This window comes from Homo sapiens, chromosome 3 (genome assembly GCF_000001405.40).
Source record: "Homo sapiens chromosome 3, GRCh38.p14 Primary Assembly".
Taxonomy (NCBI): Eukaryota; Metazoa; Chordata; class Mammalia; order Primates; family Hominidae; genus Homo; species Homo sapiens.
The window spans coordinates 86,696,736-86,720,888 of NC_000003.12; the positions used below are offsets into that span (position 1 = coordinate 86,696,736).

The 24,153-nt window shown below is 35.6% G+C and overlaps 1 long non-coding RNA gene across 4 annotated transcripts in view, besides 1 other annotated feature; it reads left to right on the top strand.

The window, feature by feature from the left end:
- The window catches only part of LOC101927518 (uncharacterized), a 78,207-nt gene that overhangs the window by 37,667 nt on the left and 16,387 nt on the right, over positions 1-24,153 (top strand). The window contains exons 1-3 of one of the 4 annotated variants that reach the window (XR_001740561.1): positions 14,910-15,053; positions 20,691-20,792; positions 22,483-23,458. This is a non-coding gene — a long non-coding RNA (uncharacterized LOC101927518). Of the gene's footprint in view, positions 1-14,909; positions 15,054-20,690; positions 20,793-22,482; positions 23,459-24,153 lie in introns of those variants that run through there. The other 3 variants (XR_941026.3, XR_245083.4, XR_941027.4) reach the window with 3 other exon arrangements.
- Positions 17,811-18,011: a silencer, noted in NCBI's record as "peak4735 fragment used in MPRA reporter construct". NCBI's record gives its function as "represses an SCP1 promoter by STARR-seq MPRAs in K562 erythroleukemia cells {active_cell/tissue: K562}" and the evidence as "EXISTENCE:reporter gene assay evidence [ECO:0000049][PMID:32103011]".

Consider the following 24,153-nt stretch of genomic DNA (forward strand, 5'->3'; position numbering starts at 1 on the left):
AAGGTCCGCTGGAAAAACGGGCATTTAACATTCTTTTTAGTTTCAGGGGAGGGGGAAGGGAGAGAGGGAGAGAGGACACAGGGAAACTTACAGCAAAATTTTCGCTGTTTATAGCTTTCCTGAGAAAGAAAACACATGCACAAATCCTAGTGTTAGGAATATTTTAAGCATATATCTTTAATAATATTTATCCAGGACCGAAAGAAGTCCTGATGCAAGAAATAAGTAAGTTTCACAGCTTTCTAAGCCCCTACTCAACCCAGGAAGCCAGGCTAGCACCTCCTCTCAGAATCACATTCTGGAACAGTACAGAGAACCTAGAAACAAATGCACACACTTACAGTGAACTCATTTCTGCCAAAGGTGCCAAGAACATAAGCTAGTGAAAGGACAGGCTCTTCAATAAATGGTGCTGAAAAAACTGATAGCCATATACGAAAGAATGACACTAGACCCCAGTCTCTCACTATCTACAAAAAATCAAATCAAAATGGATTAAAGACTTAAATCTAAGACCTCAAACTATGAAACTTCTACAAGAAAGCATTGAAGAAACTCTCTAGCACATTGGTCTGGACAAGGACTTCTTGAGCAATTGCCCAAGCACAGGCAACCAAAACAAGAATAGGCAAATGGGATCACATAAAAAAATGACTGTATAGCAAAGGATACAATCAACAAAGTAAAGAGACAATGCACAGAATGGGAGAAGGTATTTGCAAACTACCCATCTGACAAGGGATTAATAACCGAATGTATAAGGAGCTTAAACAACTCTATAGGAAAAAATCTAATTATCCAATTAAAAAATGGGCAAAAGATTTGAATCGACATTTCTCAAAATAAGACATAAAAATGGCAAAGAGGCATATGAAAAGGTGCTCAACATTACTGGATCATCTGAGAAATGCAAATCAAACACAATGAGATATTACCTCACCCTTGTTAAAATGGCTTATATCCAAAAGACAGGCAATAACAAATGCAGGCGAGGATGTGGAGAAAATGGAATCCTGTACATTGTTGGTGGAAATATAACTAGTACAACCACTAGGGAGGACAGTTTGGAGGTTCCTCAAAACACTAAAAATTAAGCTCCCATATGATTCAGCAATCCCACTCCTGGGTATATATCCCAAAGAAAGGAAATCAGTATATCAAAGAGATAACTGCACTGCTGTTTGCTGCAGCACTGTTTACAATGGCCAGGGTTTGAAAGCAGCGCACGTGTCCATCAACAGTTGAATGAATCAAGAAAATGTAGTACATGTACACACAATGGAGTACTGTTTAGTCATAAAAAAGAATGAGATCCAGCCATTTGCAACAACAGGGATGGAACTGGAGATGTTAAGTGAAGTAAACCAGGCACAGAAAGACAAACCCATGCTCTCACTCACTTGTGGGATATAAAAATCACAACAATTCAACTCATGTACATATTAATAGAGTGTAAAAGAACAGTTACCAGAGGCTGGGGAAAGTAGTAGGGGGTTGGAGGGGAAGTGGGGATGGTTAAAGGGTACCAAAAAAAAAAAAAGTTAGAAAGAATGAATGAGACCTGCTATTCGATAGCACAATAGGGTGAATATAATCAATAATAGCTTAATTGTACATTCTAAAATAAAGAGTGTAATTGGATTGTTTGTAACTCAAAGGGCATATGCTGGGGGGGGGATGGATACCGCACTCTCCATATATGTTTATTTCACATTGCTTGTCTGTACCAAAACATCTCATATACACCGTAAATATATACATCTATGTACCCACATACATTTTAAAAAGCAATTTAATTAAAAAAATAATAATTCTCAGTCTTTTCTTTAAATATTGCCTGCTTCTCTCCCAGTCCTCCCTTCTAGGACTCCATTTGCATATGTGTTAAATATTTTCACCCATATGCTGCATATACTCTTTTTTTTGTTTGTTTTTTCTTTTTTTGAGACGGAGTCTTGCTCTGTCGTCCAGGTTGGAGTGCAGTGGCGCGATCTCAGCTCACTGCAACCTCCGCCTCCCGGGTTCATGCCATTCTCCTGCCTCAGCCTCCTGAGTAGCTGGGACTACAGGCGCCTGTCACCACACCTGGCTAATTTTTTGTATTTTTTAGTAGAGACGGGGTTTCACCATGTTAGCCAGGATGGTCTCGATCTCCTAACCTCGTGATCCACCCGCCTCGGCCTCCCAAAGTTCTGGGATTACAGGCGTGAGCCACCATGCCCGGCCTGCATAGACTCTTTTATTGGTTCTATATTTCTTTGTTTCATTATGCTTGTGCTATTTTGTTTTTACATATTTTATACTATATCTAATCTGCTATTGAAGCCATTTATCCTGTTTTAATTTCAGCTACTGTATTTTTTATTTCTAGATTTTGTTTGATATTTCTAGTGTTTCCATTTCTCCCCCAATTCTCTATCTTCCTATTTAATTATTTGAACATTTAATTTTAAATACTCTCTCGGATAACTTAAATATCTTGCCCTACTCCGGGTCCTCTCCTATTATATAAGTTTTCTCTTAATTTGTATTGAAAGTTTATCTAGTTTTTAACTTATCTTTCTGTGTACTTCAATGAACAGAAGATATTGTAGACTGAAAGTTTTAGAGGTAATTTAAGGCTCTGTAGAATTTAATCTTCTCTTCCTTTCAGGAAGATATGAAATTTTGATTTTCCTTTTCTTTCTTTCTTTCTTTCTCTCTTTCTCTCTTTCTTTCTTATTGGCCAGGCTGGTCTCAAACTCCTGACCTCTGATGATCCACACACCTTGGCCTCCAAAAGTACTGGGATTAGAGGCCTGAGCCACCGCGCCTGGCCGATTTTTCTTTTGACATATGTCAAACTTCTACTCAGATTCTAATCCTGTAAACTGACCTTCAAACAATAACTTTTGTTGAATCTTCTCCATATTTTCTAGTTGTTCTCAGTAAGAAGTTTGGTTCAAAGCGACAATCGCTAGAAGAAGATTCCAAGAACAGCTTGTTCTGAGTATTCTTGCTATGTTTGATCAGTGACAGCCTTTATGAATCTCATCTCACCTCCCCAATCTATTTCATACATAACCTATAAGCATATGATGATGACTTTGCCAGTCAGACTTGTCCACGTGAGACCTTAATTGGGAAATCCACATTATGAAATAAAACACCGTAATGTACTCATTTTGCTGGAGAAAGGCAACATAGCAAGCTGTTTTCTCCAGTGCTCACAGAGTAACACCAATAGTAATGGTTTCTTCAGACACCATTGTTTTGGATATTGCTCCTGGAAGCTTTGGCTTGAGTCTACTTCCAGGTTTCCAAATGATCCTGTGAGCTGCACGAAAGCCGTTTAATTAACTCTTGACTAATTAATCAGCGATAATTTTGTTTTGCGATTTCAAATAAAAACCTATGTTGATAGAATTGCAGCTAGTGTTAGAGTTTTATTAAGCTTTTTCTTCTTGAAATGTCTGTTTTCTGTCCTTGCTTCTCTAAACTGACCACTCCGCGTCTTAGACAAGGCTCACCAGGATTTCAGACCTGGGCCTGTGTGATGCTCATTTAATGATCTCCCAATCTATTGGTTTATTTTCTCCAATATGTACCATGATCAGTTTTATGGCATTTAATAGTGCTTTGATCAAGTTATTCCACCTCTTAAAAACTGTTAGTGGCTCCTTGGTAAAAAAAATAATGACCACATTTACTACTTATGAGATGATTTTTTTTCTCCTGATGCTAAAATTTTCACTGTTTCAAGTACTTTCATGTTATTTGTTTGCCTGTTTTTTTTTTTTTTTTTTTTTTTGGTTTTTTACTCCCCATATATGCTTCTGGATTTAATTAAGTTGTTTGCTACACCTTTCTTCAGGCACACTCTATTTTCTTCTCTCCTTGGTCTCACATTTGCCCTGAATTCTATAAGCTCACTCATTTCCTCTCTTTTCTCTATAAGCTCACTGATTTCTTCCCTTCTCTCCAATCACTATTCCAATATTCAGACTTTTAAAAATGGGAACCTAATTATCAACACATCTAAAATTTATACTATTGTTTTATGTAGTCTAAGACAAGGAATATTAACATCACATCAAATGTTTAGAAATGCTAGAAAATGACAATGAACTTTGCTTAATCCTTTCTTATTATTTTTACTATAAAATATTCTTAAATACAAGTTTATTATTCATCTATTATTTACTTATGTGCTAAAAGACATAAAATTAATACTATGGAAGTAGGATTTATGGGAGAAAGCATTTATTTATAAGAAAATATAGATAATTATGAAAAACAAATAAATTATACATGTTTTATTTCTATTTATTTTCAAATGATTTAAAGACTTTGTCCATTTAGATTTCTAGCTGCTTTAGTAAAATGCTGTAAATTGGATAGCTATGTACAACAGAAATTTATTTCTCATGGTTCTGCTATGAGATAGCAAGTAAGTTCTACTCTTTCCATGAGTTCCTTAATACCACTCTTTCCTTCTTGTTCTCTACCTTCTCTAAAATTTTAACATAACACTTGTGTTAATACTACAAAATTTAGCACTTGATTATTTATTATCTTCTTCACATGTGATATTATTAGATTAATCATTTCAGGGCATAGACAACAAGCTGTATTTCCTCAGTAACCCTAAAAGAACTTGAGTTTGCTAATTTCAAAAATGGTGATAAAGCTAGTTAAGGAAATTCCTTTAAGTGAATATCGATATTCTTAAAGTGAAGTATCAAAATTTTTTTTAATTACTCAGTTATCACCTTAGGAACCCCAGGAAAGTGGATATGACAAATGAGTAAACAGTGTTTAAATAGCGAAAAAGGATATATTAAAGAAAATAATTAAAGATCACCACTTGTTCTCTCCTGTGAGAGTGTTTGGATTAGTGGCAAATATTTAAACAGACAGAGACAGCATTAAGGTGGTAAGAACAATGCAAGGAAATTTAGAATACATCCGAAGGTACAAGAACTAAATGACACAGAAAGGAAAATTCCGATGAGATGAACAGGGTTGTAGAAGGCATACGAAAAACAGAATTGAGAGGAAATTTTACAAAGAGATACTGAAACAAAATAAAGGTCAAGCACCAAATGTCTTACCAATAGATACACTATGAATGGAGATGAAAAAACACTAACAACAATACAAGATCAATGTGGCCTCAAAGGCAAAGAGCTAAACAGAAATAAAGCAATGGAAATCACACATAATATTCTTATTTTATATGTTACTGAAAAAGGATAGTCAAGGAACAATGAGAAAATATGCCAATGTTCCACTATTAACAAAAGACTATGACTTTGCACTTCAAATAATCACAAATGAAAATATACAGTGAGAATAAGTGTTTCTGAGAAAATAAATTAGCTTCTTAATTTAGCAATAAAACAAAAGTTTAAAGATTCCAAGATTGAGGTTTTAGAGTAAAAATATAGAGTATATATTTTTATTTACTTGAAATAGAGATCTCAACTATTAATGGCTTTCAAAAGTATTAAAAACTTTTTTCCAATAATAATATATTACAACATAAGCAGTTATATTTATAGGAAATTTTTTTAAGTTAAGATATTCTTTTTTCCATTTATAGATTTTCTAGGTCGTCTGTAATTTCCCTTTGAGAATAATTTTACTGCTTACATAAAGGTTTTTGAGTAGATTATTATTTTACTTGCACAAATGCAAAGTGTTAACGTGTTACAGCTACTCTATCTGTAGTAGCTTCAACTTAGAAAAATGTGTACCCTCTGAATCTAAAAGTTGAAATTATTTTTTTTAAAAAAAGGAACCTTTAAAAATGTCATTTTGCAGCAGTCCACTAGATGTCACTCAAGATAAGGTTCCCCCTCTAACAGCCCCAACTCCCCTTTATCTTTAAAAAAAATAAAGAAGTAAACTCTTAATTAACTATTAGCTCATTATTCTTATTTGACAGATATAATATATGGGTTTGTATTAATTCAAATTTTGTTATTTCCTACTGAAGCTTCAGGTGCATGTCTGTTGCATATAAAGAAAACTTTAGGATTAATAATAAATTTGGTTTATTATACTAGGGAAAAAGTAAGATGGATGTCTTTATTAGAGTGAAGGTTCTGTGAACAAAGCAATTATCTGGAGCTTAGCCTTTAATTTCCAGTTAGGTATGTGCAATTAATAGAAATCAGTTCAAAAAATCAGTCTTACCAATTGTTTTGTATTGATGGGCAAGTTTTATTGATGAGTGACTCATAATGTCATATTTGAGTTTGAGCTTGTTTATGGTTTTAAATAGAGATTATGCTAGCAAGATATTTTCTATCGTGAAGAAACTACAGAATTGGCATAGATTGATACCCTTTTCATCAAAAATTTATAAAATCATCTGCTTGACATTGTACAAGGTCTCCACTTTCTGGTTTCATAGCAGAACTCGCTACTTGTTCCTCAAGAAGTTTGGGGAGCCATGCTTACAATCTGACATATTGGTATGCAACAGAGAGGACTTAAGTAATAATCAACTGTGCTTACTTTGTCTCTTTAAAATAAATTGCATATCACTTTTTAAAATTGTAGCTTGCAAAAATTTTTCTTTTTTTTTCTATTATACTTTAAGTTCTAGGGTACATGTGCACAACATGCAGGTTTGTTACATAGGTATACATGTGCCATGTTGGTTTGCTGCACCCATCAACTTGTCCTTTACATAAGGTATTTCTCCTATCCCTCCCCCAGCCCCCATCCCCTGACAGGCCCTGATGTGTGATGTTTCCTGCCCTGTGTCCATGTGTTCTCATTGTTCAACTCCCACCTATGAGTGAGAGCATAAGGTGTCTGGTTTTCGGTCCTTATGTTAGTTTGCTGAGAATGATGATTTCCAGCTTCATCCATGTCCCTGCAAAAGACATGAACTAATCCTTTTTTGTGGCTGCATAGTATTCCATGGTGTATATGTGCCACATTTTCTCAATCCAGTCTATCACTGATGGACATTTGGGTTGGTTCCAAGTCTTTGCTATTGTGAATAGTGCTGCAATAAACATGTGTGTGCATGTGTCTTTATAGTAGCATGATTTATAATCCTTTGGATATATACCCAGTAATGCGATCACTGGGTCAAATGGTATTTCTAGTTCTAGATCCTTGAGGAATCACCACACTGTCTTCCACTATGGTTGAACTAATTTACACTCCCACTAACAGTGTAAAAGTGTTCTTATTTTTCCAAATCCTCTCCAGCATCTGTTGTTTCCTAACCTTTTAATGATCATCATTCTAACTGGAGTGAGATGGTATCTCATTGTGGTTTAGATTTGCATTTCTCTAATGACCAGTGATGATGAGCACTTTTTCATATATCTGTTGGCTGCATGTCTTCTTTTGAGAAGTGTCTTTTCATATCTTTTGCCCACTTTTTGATAGGGTTGTTTGTTTTTTTTCTTGTAAATTTCTTTAAGTTCTTTGTAGATTCTGGATATTAGTCCTTTGTTAGATGGGTAGATTGCAAAAATTTTCTCCCATTGTGTAGGTTGCCTGTTCACTCTGATGATAGTTTATTTTGCTGTGCAGAAGCTCTTTAGTTTAATTGGATCCCATTTGTCTATTTTGGCATTTGTTGCCGTCGCTTTTGGTGTTTTAGTCAGGAAGTTCTTGCCCATGCCTATGTCCTAAATGGTATTGCCTAGGTTTTCTTCTAGGGTTTTTATGGTTTGAGGTCTTACATTTAAGTCTTTAATCCATCTTGAGTTAATTTTTGTATAAGGTGTAAGGAAGGGATACAGTTTCAGCTTTCTACATATGGCTAGCCAGTTTTCCCAGCACCATTTATTAAATAAAGAATCCTTTACCCATTTCTTGTATTTGTCAGGTTTGTCAAAGATCAGATGGTTGTAGATCTGTAGTGTTATGTGTTATTTCTGAGGCTTCTGTTCTGTTTCATTGGTCTATATATCTGTTTTGGTGCCAGTACCATGCTGTTTTGGTTATTGTAGCCTTGTAGTATAGTTTGAAGTCAGATAGCGTGATGCCTCCAGCTTTGTTCTTTTTGCTTAGGATTGTGTTGGCTATGCGGGCTCTTTTTGGGTTCCATATGAACTTTAAATTAGTTTTTTCCAATTCTGTGAAGAAAGTCATTGGTAGCTTGATGAGGATGGCATTGAATCTGTAAATTACCTTGCGCAATATGACTATTTTCACCATATTGATTCTTACTATCCATGAGCATGGAATGTCCTTCCATTTGTTTGTGTCCTCTTTTATTTCCTTGAGCAGTGGTTTGTAGTTCTCCTTGAAGAGGTCCTTCACATCCCTTGTAAGTTGGATTCCTAGGTACGTTATTCTCTTTTTAGCAATTGAATGTGAGTTCACTCACGATTTGGCTCTCTGTTTGTCTGTTACTGGTGTATAAAAATGCTTGTGATTTTTGCATATTGATTTTGTATCCTGAGACTTTGCTGAAGTTGCTTATCAACTTACGGAGATTTTGGGCTGAGATGATGGGGTTTTCTAAATATATAATCATGTCATCTACAAACAGGGACAATTTGACTTCCTCTTTTCCTAATTGAATACACTTTATTTCTTTCTCTTTTTGTAATTGAATACACTTTATTTCTTTCTCTTTCCTGATTACCCTAGCCAGAACTTACAACACTATGTTGAATAGGAGTGGTGAGAGAGGGCTGCCTTGTCTTGTGCCAGTTTTCAAAGGGGATGCTTCCAGTTTTTGCCCATTCAGTATGATATTGGCTGTGGGTTTGTCCTAAATAGCTCTTATCATTTTGAGATACATTCCATCAATACCTAGTTTATTGAGAATTTTTAGCATGAATTGTTGTTGAATTGTGTTGAAGGTGTTTTCTGCATCTATCGAGATAATCATGTGGTTTTTATCTTTTGTTCTGTTTATATGATGGATTATGTTTATTGATTTGCATATGTTGAACCAGCCTTGCATCCCAGGGATGAAGCCGTCTTGATTGTGGTGGATAAGCTTTTTCATATGCTGCTGGATTCAGTTTGCCAGTATTTTACTGAGGATTTTCACATCAATGTTCATTAAGGATATTGGTCTAAAATTCTCTTTTTTTGTTGTGTCTCTGCCAGGCTTTGGTATCAGGATGATACTGGCCTCAGAAAATGAGTTAGGGAGGATTTCCTCTTTTTCTATTGATTGGAATAATTTCAGAAGGAATGGTACCAGCTCCTCTTTTTACCTCTGGAAGAATTCGGCTGTGAATCCGTGTGGTCCTGGACTTTTTTTGGTTGGTAAGCTATTAAATATTGCCTCAATGTCAGAACCTGTTATTGGTCTATTCAGAGATTCAACTTCCTCCTGGTTAAGTCTCAGGGGGTGTATGTGTCCATGAATTTATCCATTTCTTCTAGATTTTCTAGTTTATTTGTGTAAAGGTGTTTATAGTATCCTCTGATGGTAGATTGTATTTCTGTGGGATCAGTGGAGATGTCCCCTTTATCATTTTTTATTGTGTCTACTTGATTCTTCTCTCTTTTCTTCTTTATTAGTCTTGCTAGTGGTCTATTTTGTTGATCTTTTCAAAAAACCAGCTCCTGGATTCATTGATTTTTTGAAGGTGTTTTTTTTCTGTCTTGATCTCCTTCAGTTCTGCTCTGATCTTAGTTGTTTCTTGACTTCTGCTAGCTTTTGAATTTGTTTGCTCTTGCTTCTCTAGTTCTTTTAATTGTGATGTTAGGGTGTCAATTTTAGATCTTTCCTGCTTTCTCTTGTGGGCATTTAGTGCTATAAATTTCCCTCTACACACTGCTTTGAATGTGTCCCAGAGATTCTGGTATGTTGTGTCTTTGTTCTCATTGGTTTCAAATAACATCTTTATTTCTGCCTTCATTTTGTTATTTACCCAGTCATCATTCAGGAGCACGTTGTTCAGTTTCCATGAAGTTGTGTGGTTTTGAGTGAGTTTCTTAACCCTGAGTTCTAATTTGATTGCACTGTGATCTGAGAGACTGTTTGTTGTGATTTCTGTTCTTCTACACTTGCTGAGGAGTGTTTTACTTCCAATTATGTGGACAATTTTAGAATAAGTGCAATGTGGTGCTGAGAAGAATGTATATTCTGTTGATTTGGGATGGGGAGTTCTGTAGATGTCTATTAGGTTTGCTTGTTGCAGAGCTGAATTCAAGTCCTATATATCCTTGTTAACCTTCTTTTGTTGACCTTCTGTTTGTTGATCTAATATTGACAGTGGGGTGTTGAAATCTCCCATTATTATTGTGTGGGAGTCTAAGTCTCTTTGTAGGTCTCTAAGGACTTCCTTTATGAATCTGGGTGCTCCTGTATTGGGTGCATATATATTTAGGATAGTTAGCTCTTCTCGTTGAATTGATCCCTTTACCATTATGTAATGGCCTTGATTGTCTCTTTTGATCTTTGTTGGTTTAAAGTCTGTTTATCGGAGACAAGGACTGCAACCCCTGCTTTTTTTTGCTTTCCATTTCCTTGGTAGATTATCTTCCATCCCCTTTATTTTGAGCCTATGTGTGTCTCTGCATGTGACATGAGTCTGCTGAATACAGCACACTGATAGGTCTTGACTCTTTATCCAATTTGCCTGTCTATGTCTTTCAATTGGGGTATTTAGTCCATTTACATTAAAGGTTAATATTGTTATGTGTGAATTTGATCCTGTCATTTTGATGTTAGCTGGTTATTTTGCCTACTAATTGATGCAGTTTCTTCATAGCATCTATGGTCTTTACAATTTGGCATGTTTTTGCAGTGGCTGGTACCAGGTGTTCCTTTCCATTTTTAGTGCTTCCTTCAGGAGCTCTTGTAAGGCAGGCCTGGTGGTGACAAAATCTCTCAGCCTTTGCTTGTCTGTAAAGATTTTATTTCTCTTTCACTTATGAAGCTTAGTTTGGCTGGATATGAGATTCTGTGTTGAAAATTCTTTTCTTTAAGAATGTTGAATATTGGCCCCTACTCTCTTCTGGCTTGAAGGGTTTCTGCTGAGAGATCTGATGTTTGTCTGATGTGCTTCCCTTTGTGGGTAACCCGACCTTTCTCTCTGGCTGCCCTTAACATTTTTTCCTTCATTTCAACCTTGGTGAATCTGACAATTATGTGCCTTGGGGTCGCTCTTCTCAAGGAGTATCTTAGTGATGTTCTTTGTATTTCCTGAATTTGAATGTTGGCCTGCCTTGCTAGGTTTGGGAAGTTCTCCTGGATAATATCCTGAAGAGTGTTTTCTAACTTGTTTCCATTCTCCTCATCAATTTCAGGTACACCAGTCAAATGTAGATTTGGTCTTTTCACATAGTCCCATATTTCTTGGAGGCTTTGTTTGTTTCTTTTTACTCTTTTCTCTCTAAACCTGTCTTCTCAATTTATTTCATTAATTTGATCTTCATTCATTGATATCCTTTCTTCCACTTGATTGAATCGGCTATTGAAGCTTGTGCATGCATCATGAAGTACTCATGCTATGGTTTTCAGCTCCATCAGATCATTTAAGGTCTTCTCTACACTGTTTATTCTAGTTAGCCATTCATCTAACCTTTTTTTCAAGGTTTTTAGCTTCCTTGTGATGGATTAGAACATGCTCCTTTAGCTCGGAGAAGTTTGTTATTACCAACCTCCTGAAGCCTACTTCTGTCAACTCATCAAACTCATTCTCCATCCAGTTTTAGTCTGTTGCTGGTGAGGAGATGCAATCCTTTGGAAGAGAAGAAGCACTCTGGTTTTTGGAATTTTCAGCTTTTCTGCTCTAGTTTCTCCCCATCATTGTGGTTTTATCTACCTTTAGTCTTTGATGTTGGTGACCTACAGATGGGGTTTTGGTGTGTATGTCTTTTTTGTTGATGTTGATGCTATTCCTTTCTGTTTGTTAGATTTCCTTCTAACAGTCAGGTCGCTCAGCTGCAGGTCCGTTGGAGTTTGCTGGAGTTCCACTCCAGACCCTGTTTGCCTGGGTATCACCAGCGGAGGCTGCAGAACAGCAAATACTGCAGAACAGCAAAATATTGCTGCCTGATCCTTCCTCAGGAAGGTTCGTCCCAGAGGGGCACCCACCTGTATGAGGTGTCTGTCAGCCCCTACTGGGAGGGGTTTCCCAGTCAAGCTACATGGGGGTCAGGGACCCACTTCAGGAGGCAGCCTGTCCATTCTCAGAGCTCGAACGCCATACTGGGAGAACCCCTACTCTCTTCAGAGCTGTCAGACAGGGACGTTTTAAGTGCGGAGAAATTGTCTGCTGCCTTTTGTTCAGCTATGCCCTGCCCACAGAGGTGGAGTCTAGAGAGGCAGTAGGCCTTGCTGAGCTGCGGTGGACTCCACCCAGTTTGAGCTTCCCAACCACTTTGTTTACCTACTCAAGACTCAACAAAGGCTGATGCCCCTCCCCCCGCCAGGCTGCAGCTTCCCAGGTTGATCCCAGACTACTGCACTAGCAGTGAGCAAGGTTCCATGGGTGTGGGACCTGCCGAGCCCGGCATGGGAGGGAATCTCCTGGTCTGCCGGTTGCTAAAACTGTGGGAAAACACAGTATTTGGGCAGAAATGTACCATTCCTCCAGGTACATTCTGGTTCAGCTTCCCTTGGCTAGGAAAGGGAAATTCCCCAACTCATTGCACTTCCCTGGTGAGGCAATGCCCCACCCTGCTTTGGCTCGCCCTTCATGGGCTGCACCCATTGTCCAACCAGTCCCAGTGAGATGAACCAGGTACCTCAGTTGGAAATGCAGAAATCACCCATCTTCCGTATCCATCTCACTGGGAGCGGCAGACCGCAGCTGTTCCTATTCAGCCATCTTGGAAGAGACCACAACTTTTCTTAACAGTAAATGTGAAACTAGCCCTAGAGCATACTATAATTGATAAATTGTCACTATTATTCAACAAACATCTCTTGGAAAAAAATAAATTTTTTGCTTAGGGATATATTTTATTTCTATTTTTCATAAACTTCTTATTTTATGTGCTAATACCAAGTTGTTTTTTTCAAATTGAACTACATTCTCCCAAAACATGACCTAATGCATGGGATTATATTTGGCACTTAAGAAATGTATTAATTCTTCAATTCACTAGGGCATTAAGCAAAGTGAGTGTTTCATTGCATGATATAGTACTCTGGGGCCTGAGTTAGTACTTCATATTGCTTAGCTCAAGGAAAAGCCTAGTGCATAATTAGTTTTAGCTGTACAGGGTTAAATTTTTACTAGGGAAATGGAAGTTGAATGAGTAGTCTGATTTACCTTTAAATTTTGGATACAAAACTACACAGATAAAGGAGCTTAGAAAGAAAAGCAGGCTGTAGCCAACAGCAACCTGGGGAAAACATTTTTATATACATGAGACAATAGCTTTATTACATTAATAAAGTTTTCTAAGGCTAGTAAAAATATAATATAGATTTATGAACAAAAGATAGGAAATAAATAACTTACATTTAGGATCAATGGTCTAAATTTTATGATATATTAAGCTGACCAAATTTTAAAGCTTTTCCCATACCCAGCCCTTTTGAATACTAAAATAAACATGCATATGGGTCCTCAAGGAACATTTTTAAAGAGGTGTCACAACCAATAAAAATTATTAACAAATTAACCTACTGTCTGAAATAGAGTTTTGCATAATGTAACATGGAGTTCGAAGGTGATTGAGTCTTCCTTCATGAAGATAAGATGATTATGTATGGCTGAAGTTCCTACATGGCAGTAGTTTGTGATCATCCTTCTACTGATCCCACACTGTATGAGGGTTTCTTTTTTCTTTTTTTTAATCTCAGTAAGTTATTCTTTCTGTACTTTCTAGAAACTACTATGTAGTAATGGAAGGGAAGCGTCAATCTTAGAAAAGAAAGAAAGGAGTATGTCTTCTTTCTTCAGTATTCCTCTCTTTTCAGAGGCCACTATTCCATGATTCTGTTAGTTACTTAAGGAGATTAATTTGATGAATTCATATACAGAGAATGGCTGCGGAAAGAATGCTATTTTTCTTTGTTACCATTTTTTTTAACAAGAGTGGAATTTTGAATGTCACTAGAGAAAATATTTTGTGCAGACAGCTATTCAAAAGCTGTCTTGTAGCTTAACATAGGCTATCCTACTTCTTTTTCCTGCAAATTTATTAAATTGTTTGTAACAAGCAAGTTTTCAAAAAAGATTTAAGATGGTTTTCACAGAATGGCTTAAAGATAAAACAATTAAAATTTAGATAAAAATATAAGAACCATATAAGAAACAAAGAAAATTATCTTAAAAAATCCAAGAGCAAAGAATAATGGCGAATAAAATTTAGCTTTGGACATCTCACAGCTATGGTAAAATGAAGGCAAAGCAATAAAGCTTCTACCCTACGATGTGAGACATAGCTTTTCTATCTCTAGACTTGTAGAGGAATTTTTCCTCAGGGACAAGACATACCTGTAAGGCCCGCAATAATGAAGGAAAAGGAACAAATATCTCCGGCTTAGGTGCTGGATAGTTCATGTGAAATGGATAAACACAGCAGAGAAAGTTAAAATCCTTAACCCATGAATGACATCACTGTAGTCTACATATGTGAAGAACTAATTAGAATTACTTTTATTGTTCCACTTTTAGTGAAAAAGTAAAAAGGGGAGTATATTAAACCATTTGTTTGAAGTGCTTAAAAACCTTATTGTTGAAGCATACTATTATATTTTTAAATGAAATTCAAAATAGCACTTCGAGGTTTTCTACTCTTTGTTTTCTATTTTAAAATTTGCTTTCTACCACTTTAGATTAGATCAGCATTTTTAGGCTTTTCCTATAATCTAACACATAAAGGAATATAGTATTTTTGAGGTTTGAACTAAGATGCTTTAATTAATTTGAGATGTCTTTGAAATGATTTGTCAAGGTCCAATGTTTCCTAAAAGTACATGTAGCTATCTTCCAAAATTGTTTTTTCTTTCCTCCAATTTTACTGAATTATACTTTGGTGAAGTCCAGTAATTCAAGTGTTTGGCTAACAATCATCAAGGCCACAAAAACCCAGCCTCTGCTCTTGGCAGTATCAGGAACTTCATAGAATACATCACTTTCAAATTGCAGCTGCAAATGGTCTTGTTAAAGGTAATTCAGCAACATCAGTCAAGATGTTGCCTTGACACATAATGGAGGAGATTAGAAATAATGCATTCCTTCAGTAAACCACTCCACCTGTTTCTATCAATGATGCAGTCCTCTCTCGGGCAATTTTCCAAAGCTACATAGAGAACTGAATTCACGTGGACTGAAAGAGAAAAAAAAATTCTAATTGGAATCAAATCAGTTGAACTTATTATACTGAGACTGAAAGATAGAAGAGAGAACAGGGAGAAAAGTTTTAGAAATATGTATTTCAAAGAATGGTCTAGTTACCAGCATACTTAGAATCCAAAAGAAAAAAGAAAAATCACAAAATTAATGAAACTAAAGGTGTGTTAAGATTCTAAGAATGTGTTAAAATTCTAGTGTTACTCATAAATTGCAGATATATTCTAATGGATATAGAATACTACAAAGGGCTTGAAGCGTGTGAAAAGGGAGCCTCAGTCATTATAATCTCATATAGTAAGTGTAGAGTTAAGGGTTTTGAAGAAATGTATTTAGTCCTTATGCATGTCTCCAGAAAAATGCACAAGCATACAAGATATGCATAAAATAGCTTAGAGCATACATTTTGAATTGGCTTCCAGATTTGTTTATAAAAAATAAATACAAATTTATTGAGGGTGTCTTTGTATTCATCCCACAGAGCCTCAAAGGAGTTCATCCTACAAATGTGTAGGCCCATCAGCTGACTCTTTTGTCTGTCCTCTATATCTTGCTAGTAATATAAAATGAGTATAATTTATAGATATTTACAAAGTCATATTTTAATAGAGTTTAGAGAAAAAATTTATAACTGCATGATGCAATCTATTTCTTGGTATGGAAAATAATATCAATGTTAAGTATTTTAAATACCTTCATATTAATTATGCCAATACACCTGCCGTTAATTTTAAATACAAGCCAAAGTCATATTTTAGCTAATAGTAGATAATCTCTTCATCCTTGATGAGGAGAATTTTTAAAACTTTTTGTAATTATTTATTAGGAAGATACCTTGACATGCTAATGAAAATATGAAAATAAGTTATAATTACCACCCTTATAAATATGTAGTGAATTTTAAAGTTCATATTTTAATAATGGGATGCATCCATGGTGGATTGAAATGTATTGCTAAAGAAGACTAACAACAACACTAACTATTTTATAATCATAGTTTTATTTACCTCATTAGGGTTTATGGACACTTACTAAGAACTAGGTACTGGGGATACAAAATTGAATAAAGCTGGGATCTCGCTTCAAGTTGCTTATTTCAATCGTGGGTAATGTCATGTAACAAATGAATGAATGACAAAGGGAGAAATGTACAGAATATAGCCTGAGATTACAAAAGAGTAAAAATTAGTTCTGTTGTTGGTGTCAGAGAAAAGGTATTTATGGCAGGCTTCAAAAAATGGCTCAGAATGAGCTAGGAAGATAAGACTGTTAAAGGTATTCCAGGCAGAGAACTCTGATCAAGATACCTTGTCATTCTACAAAGAAAGATAAATCTATTTAATAAAAGGCTGGGGAGAAATCAAGGTGAGGCAGAAGAAATAGGTTAGAAACAAGTTACATAAGATCTTCTGTGCTCTGTTAGGGAATTTTGAATTAATTCCGCAAGAAGTGGGAAATTACTAAAGATTTTAGTGCTGGTAGATGGCCTGCAGTAGCTGGAGAGAAATTGTAGTGCTGTGCTATGGAGAAAAAATTGATGAATGGAAATATGTTTATTGTGGAATATTTCAGTCTGGAGAGAGGCCAGCTAAAAGAAAATGAAGGAATTTCTAGTTGGGGGGGGGTCTTGAGTTTGCAAGTTGGTGTAATAGTTGACTAATAATGTAAATTTGGGCAAGGTTATTGGTGCTTCCAAGCCTAACATACTCACGTAAAAAATAATGGTGAGTGAGACCTCCCTAAAAGGTTGTTGTGAGGATTAGATGAAGAAAAATAATGTTCACATATAGGAGGGCTGTTAAGTATTAGTTCTCTTTCCTAAAAGTAATCTAGACAGTTTAACTCCTAATCTGTAACTAAAATGATAATACTTAGTCTTTGTTTTAAAAGATTGCTAAACTAGGACATCCATAACCATAGATAACCAGTATTTGATTTCTATATTTTTACTCTTTAATTTTTTAAAAAATTTCTGATAGCTAAGATAAAATTCCTTAACAAGTATATTAATTTTATTTCTTCACTTTTAGTTATAAGAGAGAATGGAAAAAACAATGACGATACTACTCAGTGAAGTATTATTTGTGAATGTGAAGGTAGTGATAAAAAGTCCTTTTGAGCTTTCTTTTCAGAGTAAGCGATCCCTCTTTCAGTATTTATGTAGGGGTGGTCTAAGTGAGCTAAATATCCAAATCACAGGGGAAATTTAAGTGTTTGTTTCTGGACCTAACCCCAGACTTCCTGAGTCAAAATATCTGGGTCTAGAATGCCAAAATTATGTGTTTATCATCTCAACAATTTTAATACTCATCAATATTCAGAAGCTATTGCAGTATTTTCTTTCTCCTTCCCCCTTTCTTCTTTTTCTATCTCAGAGCTTAGTATCAACTTTAGTTTTAATGATTCTCCTAGATCTCCTTTTGTTATAACTCCTCCTTTATTTTAATTTGTATCATATGGAAGTGTTACATCTGTACCACTATAATCAGGTAAGAGAATAAAATGATGGCAGTGAGTACGGAATTTCACACGATTTACATTTTGTAGTCTGGCATATGCATTAAAAAAAAAATCCCAGTTTTTGTTTCTTTTTTTTTTTTTTTTCAGAAGGAGTCTTGCTCGGTCACCTCACCCAGGCTAGACTGCAGTGGCGCGATCTCGGCTCACTGCAAGCTCCGCCTCCCAAGTTCAAGCGATTCTCCTGCTTCGGCCGCCAGAGCAGCTGGGACTACAGGCGCCCGCCACCACGCCCGGCTAATTTTTTGTATCTTTAGTAGAGACAGGGTTTCACCGTGTTAGCCAGGATGGTCTCCATCTTCTGACCTCGTGATCCACCCGCCTCGGACTCCCAAATCGCTGGGATTACAGGCGTGAGCCATGCATATTTCCTTGTTAATGATAACTACAATAGCAAAGAGTTATTGAGTGAACACTGACAATGACCCTATGAGGTAGAGATGTTAGGTAAGGAGACTGAGAAAGGATAACTTAGTTAATTTACCTTAGGTCAAAGAGCTAGAAAACTAATATATTTAGGATTCAACCCCCCGAAAAATCTTCTCTTTTACTCTTTACATTACATCATGTTACCTCCCTATTCTGTCCCGAGAGGGCCATTATATTATTTCCAATCCTCTGACATTGTGACTAGATCAAGATCTGCGAGCGTACTGTCATCTGTGACCAGCATGATGCTAGTATAGGTGTAGGAAGAAGAAAGAGATTGACTGGCAAGATTTAACTAGCCATCTTATTAAATGTCTCTATTCAATGAGAGCTGAGACAGATAAATATCAAACAGTGAGTGTCACTTTTAACCAATTGGAAATATCAAGGGCTTATCTCAGAAGAGGATTATGCCTCTGTTAGAAAACTCTAGGATGGCTACATGCTTAGGACAGAGGGATGAGAGAAAATTGTTGGATCACAAAAAAAAAAAAGATAAATTATATATGATTTCATGATTAAGGTGGTATATACTCACAAAATGTAAAAATATTGCCTGTTGTATCCTAGCCACCCTGTGCTTGAAATGCCAACTAAATGTGACATGGGAGATTGGTGCTTAGGACAATGACTACCTTATCCTCTCTCCCCTTGTAATGAGAGGGATTTCTGGTTGTTTTCTCCATGGAGAAACCATTTATTAAATATTATGATGCTTGGCAATTTGCCTCACTGGAAGATATTTGGCTAATCCCTTTCATTATCTATAAAATCAGAATAACAATAATAACTATGTGTTTGGGGGTACTGTTTTCAATTTTAGCTTTTACTGTTTTTATTGTTATTTTTATATTTATTTAAAGTTGTCAGCCAATGAGCACAACCATCTGGTTAACAATTGTGAAATAGTACAGAGGCTCCTTGACTTATAATGGGGTCTATAAATCAACCGTGAGTTCAAAATATCAAAAAATCCTGTGTCAAAAATGCTCTTAATACAACTAACCTACCAAACATCACAGCTTAGCTTAGCCTACCTTAAATGTGCTCAGAAAACTTGCATTAGCCTACAGTTGGGCAAAAGCACCTAACAAAAAATTCTGTTTTATTATAAAGTGTTGAATATCTCATGTAATTTATTGAACACCGAAAGTGAAAAACAGAATGGTTGTATGAGTACTTGAAGTAAGGTTTCTACTAAATGTGTATTGATTTTTGGTATGGTTTGGCTGTGTCCCCACCCAAATCTTATCTTGAATTGTAGCTCCCATAATTCCCACGTGTTGTGGGAGAAACTCAGTGGGAGATAATTGAGTCATGGGGATGGTTTCCCCCATACTGTTCTCGTGGTATGAGTAAGTCTCATGAGATCTGATGGTTTTATAAGGGGAAACCCCTTTCTCTTGGATCTCATTGTCTCTTGTCAGCCACCTTGTAAGAAATGTCTTTTGCTTTCCACCATGATCATGAGACCTCACCAGCCACGCGGAACTGTGAGTCCATTAAACCTCTTTCTCTTTATAAATTACTCATTCTTGAGTATGTTTTTATCAGTTGCATGAGAAAGGTGAATACACTTTTGCACCATCATAGAAATGAAAAATTGTAACTTCAGGCCGGGCGCTGTGGCTCACGCCTGTAATCCCATCACTTTGGGAGGCCAAGACGGGTGGATCACGAGGTCAGGAGTTCAAGACCAGCCTGGCCAAGATGGTGAAACCCCATCTCTACTGAAAATACAAAAATTAGCTGGGCGTGGTAGCGGGTGCCTGTAATCCCAGCTACTCAGGAGGCTGAGGCAGAGATTGCTTGAACCTGGAAGGCTGAGTTTGCAGTGAGCTGGAATAGTGCCACTGCACTCCAGCCTGGGTGACAGAGTGAGACTCCATTTCAAAAAAAAAAAAAAGAAAAGATTGTGATTTCAACCATCACAAGTCAGGGACCATCTATATTTACTTACTCTTCCACTATATAGAATATTCACACTAAAGAGGATGATCCAATAGTCAACTGTCATTTATTTGAAAAGGAAAATGTAAAGGGTAGGACCTTGACTACTTTCACTGAAATGATGCTAATTTTGTATCAAATTGATGTTTTATTCTTTATCAGTGTTTTAATCTACCATAGTGTTTGTAACATCAATCTTATAACCATGAGCCTGAAATCATATGAAGCCTTCTTGAAAAGGCCCTGGGTCCTCTTTAAATACTACAGAATCTGCATCTCTTGGAGTAAAACCACATATTAAAAAATACATTTATTTCAGATAATTCCTACTAACATAAAGTTTGATTGATGACTATTGATTCAATCTCTGTGAATCTTTTACTGTGTGTGTGCATGTATATATATAAAATGTGCATACATATAGATATGTGTGTATATATATGATGTACACATAAAATAATTTTTACTCAAATAATATCTTGTTTTATTTTCTCAGAATACTTTCTTTTTCAGTTCTGACCTGTATTAAACAGTGTAACATTCTCCTTTTACAAATAGGTATCATCAGACAAACTTAAAGATGATCTGACAATGTCATTTTCCAAGGGACTGATAGAAAGATTGAGTATCATGGAATCAGAACAGACAACAGAGAATCAGGTATTTATCTTTAGAACCAATGATAGACTTGGAGGCTATTTATTCATTGCCAAAAATCTGAATAAAATGTCAGACTTCAAACGTATTGATAAATCTCTGTATCAGTGGGAAAAACTTTAAACAGTCAGGCTGCATCAGGTCGGTTTTGTTTGGCTATCTATATATTAAAAAAACACGATTTTTTAAACTTAATTAGTTGTTGGTACTTTAAAATCAGAAGTCTGCAATTACAATGTCAGATTTCCAATCTCCTCTAAAAAATGGTAAATCTGGAAAAACTGTGCCCACATAACCATATTGTAGCTGAAGACAACCTGTCCCTTTTTGGTGGATGCTCACACTCCAGGGAGCTTCATTTCACACAGGCCAGCTTTGCTCATTTACGTTACTCCTTTGGGCACTCAGGTTTGTAACCCTTACTCTAGACATTTTGCATAAGGTCAACTATACCATCTGAAAAAGCAGCAGTTAATACGTGTTTGTTAGAATGAATACAAGATATATGAATAAGTACATCTGGAAAACTAAATTTTAAAATTTAAAATCCCAAATCTGAGATTATATTGTCACATTTTTGGTTAAGGATCTTGATATAGTTTGGCTGTGTCCCCACCCAAATCTCATCTTGAATTGTAGCTCCCATAATCCCCTTGTGTCATGGGAGGGATCCAGTGGGAGGTAATTGAATCACGGGGGCAGGATTTTTCATGCTGTTCTCATGATAGTGAATAAGTCTTACAACATCTGATGGTTTTATAAAGGGCAGTTCCCCTGCACGTACTCTCTTGACTGCCGCCATATAAGACATGCTTTTCCTCCTACTTCACCTTCTGCCATGTGGAACTGCGAGTCCATTCAACTTCGTTTTCTTTGTAAAGTACCCAGTCTTCATAGCAGTATGAAAATGGACTAACACAGACCTCTAATTGCTTAGCCACTAATAATTAGATAACCTAGAATGTATAGTTTTTATTTATCATGAAGTTTATATAAAAAAGCACCCACAGTTATGTCTTTTGCACTTTTACAGAAGTAAATTGTGTTATAAATTTGCTAACCCAAGATAAGAATTATTCTGTAATCCCTAAACTATTATATTATCTATTTCTATTGTCCTGTATTTTCCTAATTAGAAAAAGTAAACTTGTATGTTCTGGAGTCAGCTTGTTTTCAGTTTGAGGAATAAGAAATTTTATTCTGTGGTAATGACGTGTCATGTTCCTTTCCACTGCCATAGTTTGCCATTTCCTTTAGTATAATTTAAAATTTTTAAACTAGTTTCAGTTACAAAATGTGTATTTACCATCCAAATTCAATACTTTTTCCAAAAGGATTTGTTTGAACCACTATGCTTGTCAATATATAAGAGCAGTTTGATAATGTACTGAAACAATGCCTTCAATGAGGCTTCTCCTTTTCTTTCTACTCAGTGAGATATTCCAGTGAAAGCTCATAAAACATGTGGTCTCATCAAAATATTCCAGCAAAAAGAGTGAGATTTATTTTTTAACTTTAAGAGTGTTAGCTTTTTAAAGAATATTTTTTCCAGGTTCTAGTGATCATTCTAACATAAAATGCTACCGAATATATAATAGGCTTAGGTCTTTTTCAGGAATTGCAGAAAAAATTTTTTTAAAAAATTGTGAAAGTAGGTCATATTGACTTAATTCTGTCTTTGTTGTTTTAAAAGATTTGGACTGAATCAGAATAAACAGGCAATGCAGACACTTGTTCTCTGAATCACAATCAAGACTCAGTGCTGGAACAGATTTGAGGAATGTATACAATTCTTATCTAAACTGATGTCTGATATTTAACCAGGTTAAAGTTTTTTCTTTTATTTTAATGTGAGAAAAATTTAACAGATAATACATTTTCCCTTCACTACTCAATGTCTCAGTTAGAATTTCATCTGAATTGCATTTATTCAATTCATTTTATTTCTTGACTTGGTGGATTTAATATTCCTGGCATGCTTTGAAAACATGGCTGAATGCATTTATGAATGAAAATTGACAAATCCTAGTTCTGTTTCTTAAATACATTATTTGTCACAAGCTTTAGAAGAAAATCACTAATTATTTAATGTGGTTGTATTTTCAAATCCCTGAAAAGTGTTGAATGCTATATACCAAACATATATTGGCATATCAAATGTTGCCCAAGAGTCAAGCATGACTTTTATAAGAAGTTGCAAGAAAAGATTGAAAATATTTGTAAAAATGAATATTTTGTCACTCTTTAAGAACCAGAATGCTTTGATCTACATTTGTAGATTTCTAGTTTGGATAAGTTATTTGGAGAAATAAACAAAATTGTTTTATTGAAAAAGTTTTATGTTAATTTCATAGTTGACTGTTTCCATGGAAAATAAAAATATTTTTGACTCTTACCATAAACTCTTAGATTTAATGTCACCTTTGGTTGTTTATCTGTACATTTCTTCCTATTCAATCTCCAGACATATCTCCAAATATATCACGGTATAAAAAGTAGAAAACACTGTAGAATAATTTTCTCCACTTATTTTACGGGATTTTATGAATGTCTCGTAATCTTTGTCAAACACTTTTATTTTACTTAAAAAGGCAAATACACAGCAAACAAAATTGTATATGGGCTCTGTGTGATCAAAATAAAACCATTCAGAATCATTGCACGTTAGTGTTAAAGATGATGTGAAAAAATAAAACGTGTATGCATTCATTACCTATTCATATTGTGAAATATTGTTGATGATTTGCAAACCTTAACATATTATTAGTTACTTTCTGTTGTGGACTGAATTGTGTCTTCCCAAAATTCATATGTTGAAACTCTGAACCCCAATGTGACTGTATTTGGAGATAAGGCCTTTAGGGAGGTAACTAAGTTTAAATGAGGTCATGAGTTTTGGGCCCTAGGCCAGTATTCTTACAAGAACAAAAAGAGACACAAGAGATTTCTCTCTCTCTTTTCCCCAACACACACAAAGAAAGGGCCATGTGAGAGGTTATCTACATGTCAGGCAGAGAGGCCTTACAAGGAACCAACCTTCATAGCACCTTGTTCTTGGGCTATTAGCTTCTGGAACTGTAGAAAACAAATTCCTGTTGTTTAGGCTATCCAGTCTCAGATATGTTGTTATGTCAGCTCTAGAAGACCTTATTCATATATGCATGGCATTCTTATAGCCACTCAAAATAAAAGAAATTATCATGTAATTTTGCATTCTTAGACAAATCTCCCATGTTGGCATTGAAAACTTTTCTAATTTTCTCCAGGAATCAACTTACTCTGGTGAGCTTTGTTGAGAGTAGATTTTTTGAGGAAAGAATTGAAGGAGTGGCCATATTCATACTAGAATAAAACATAGGAGATG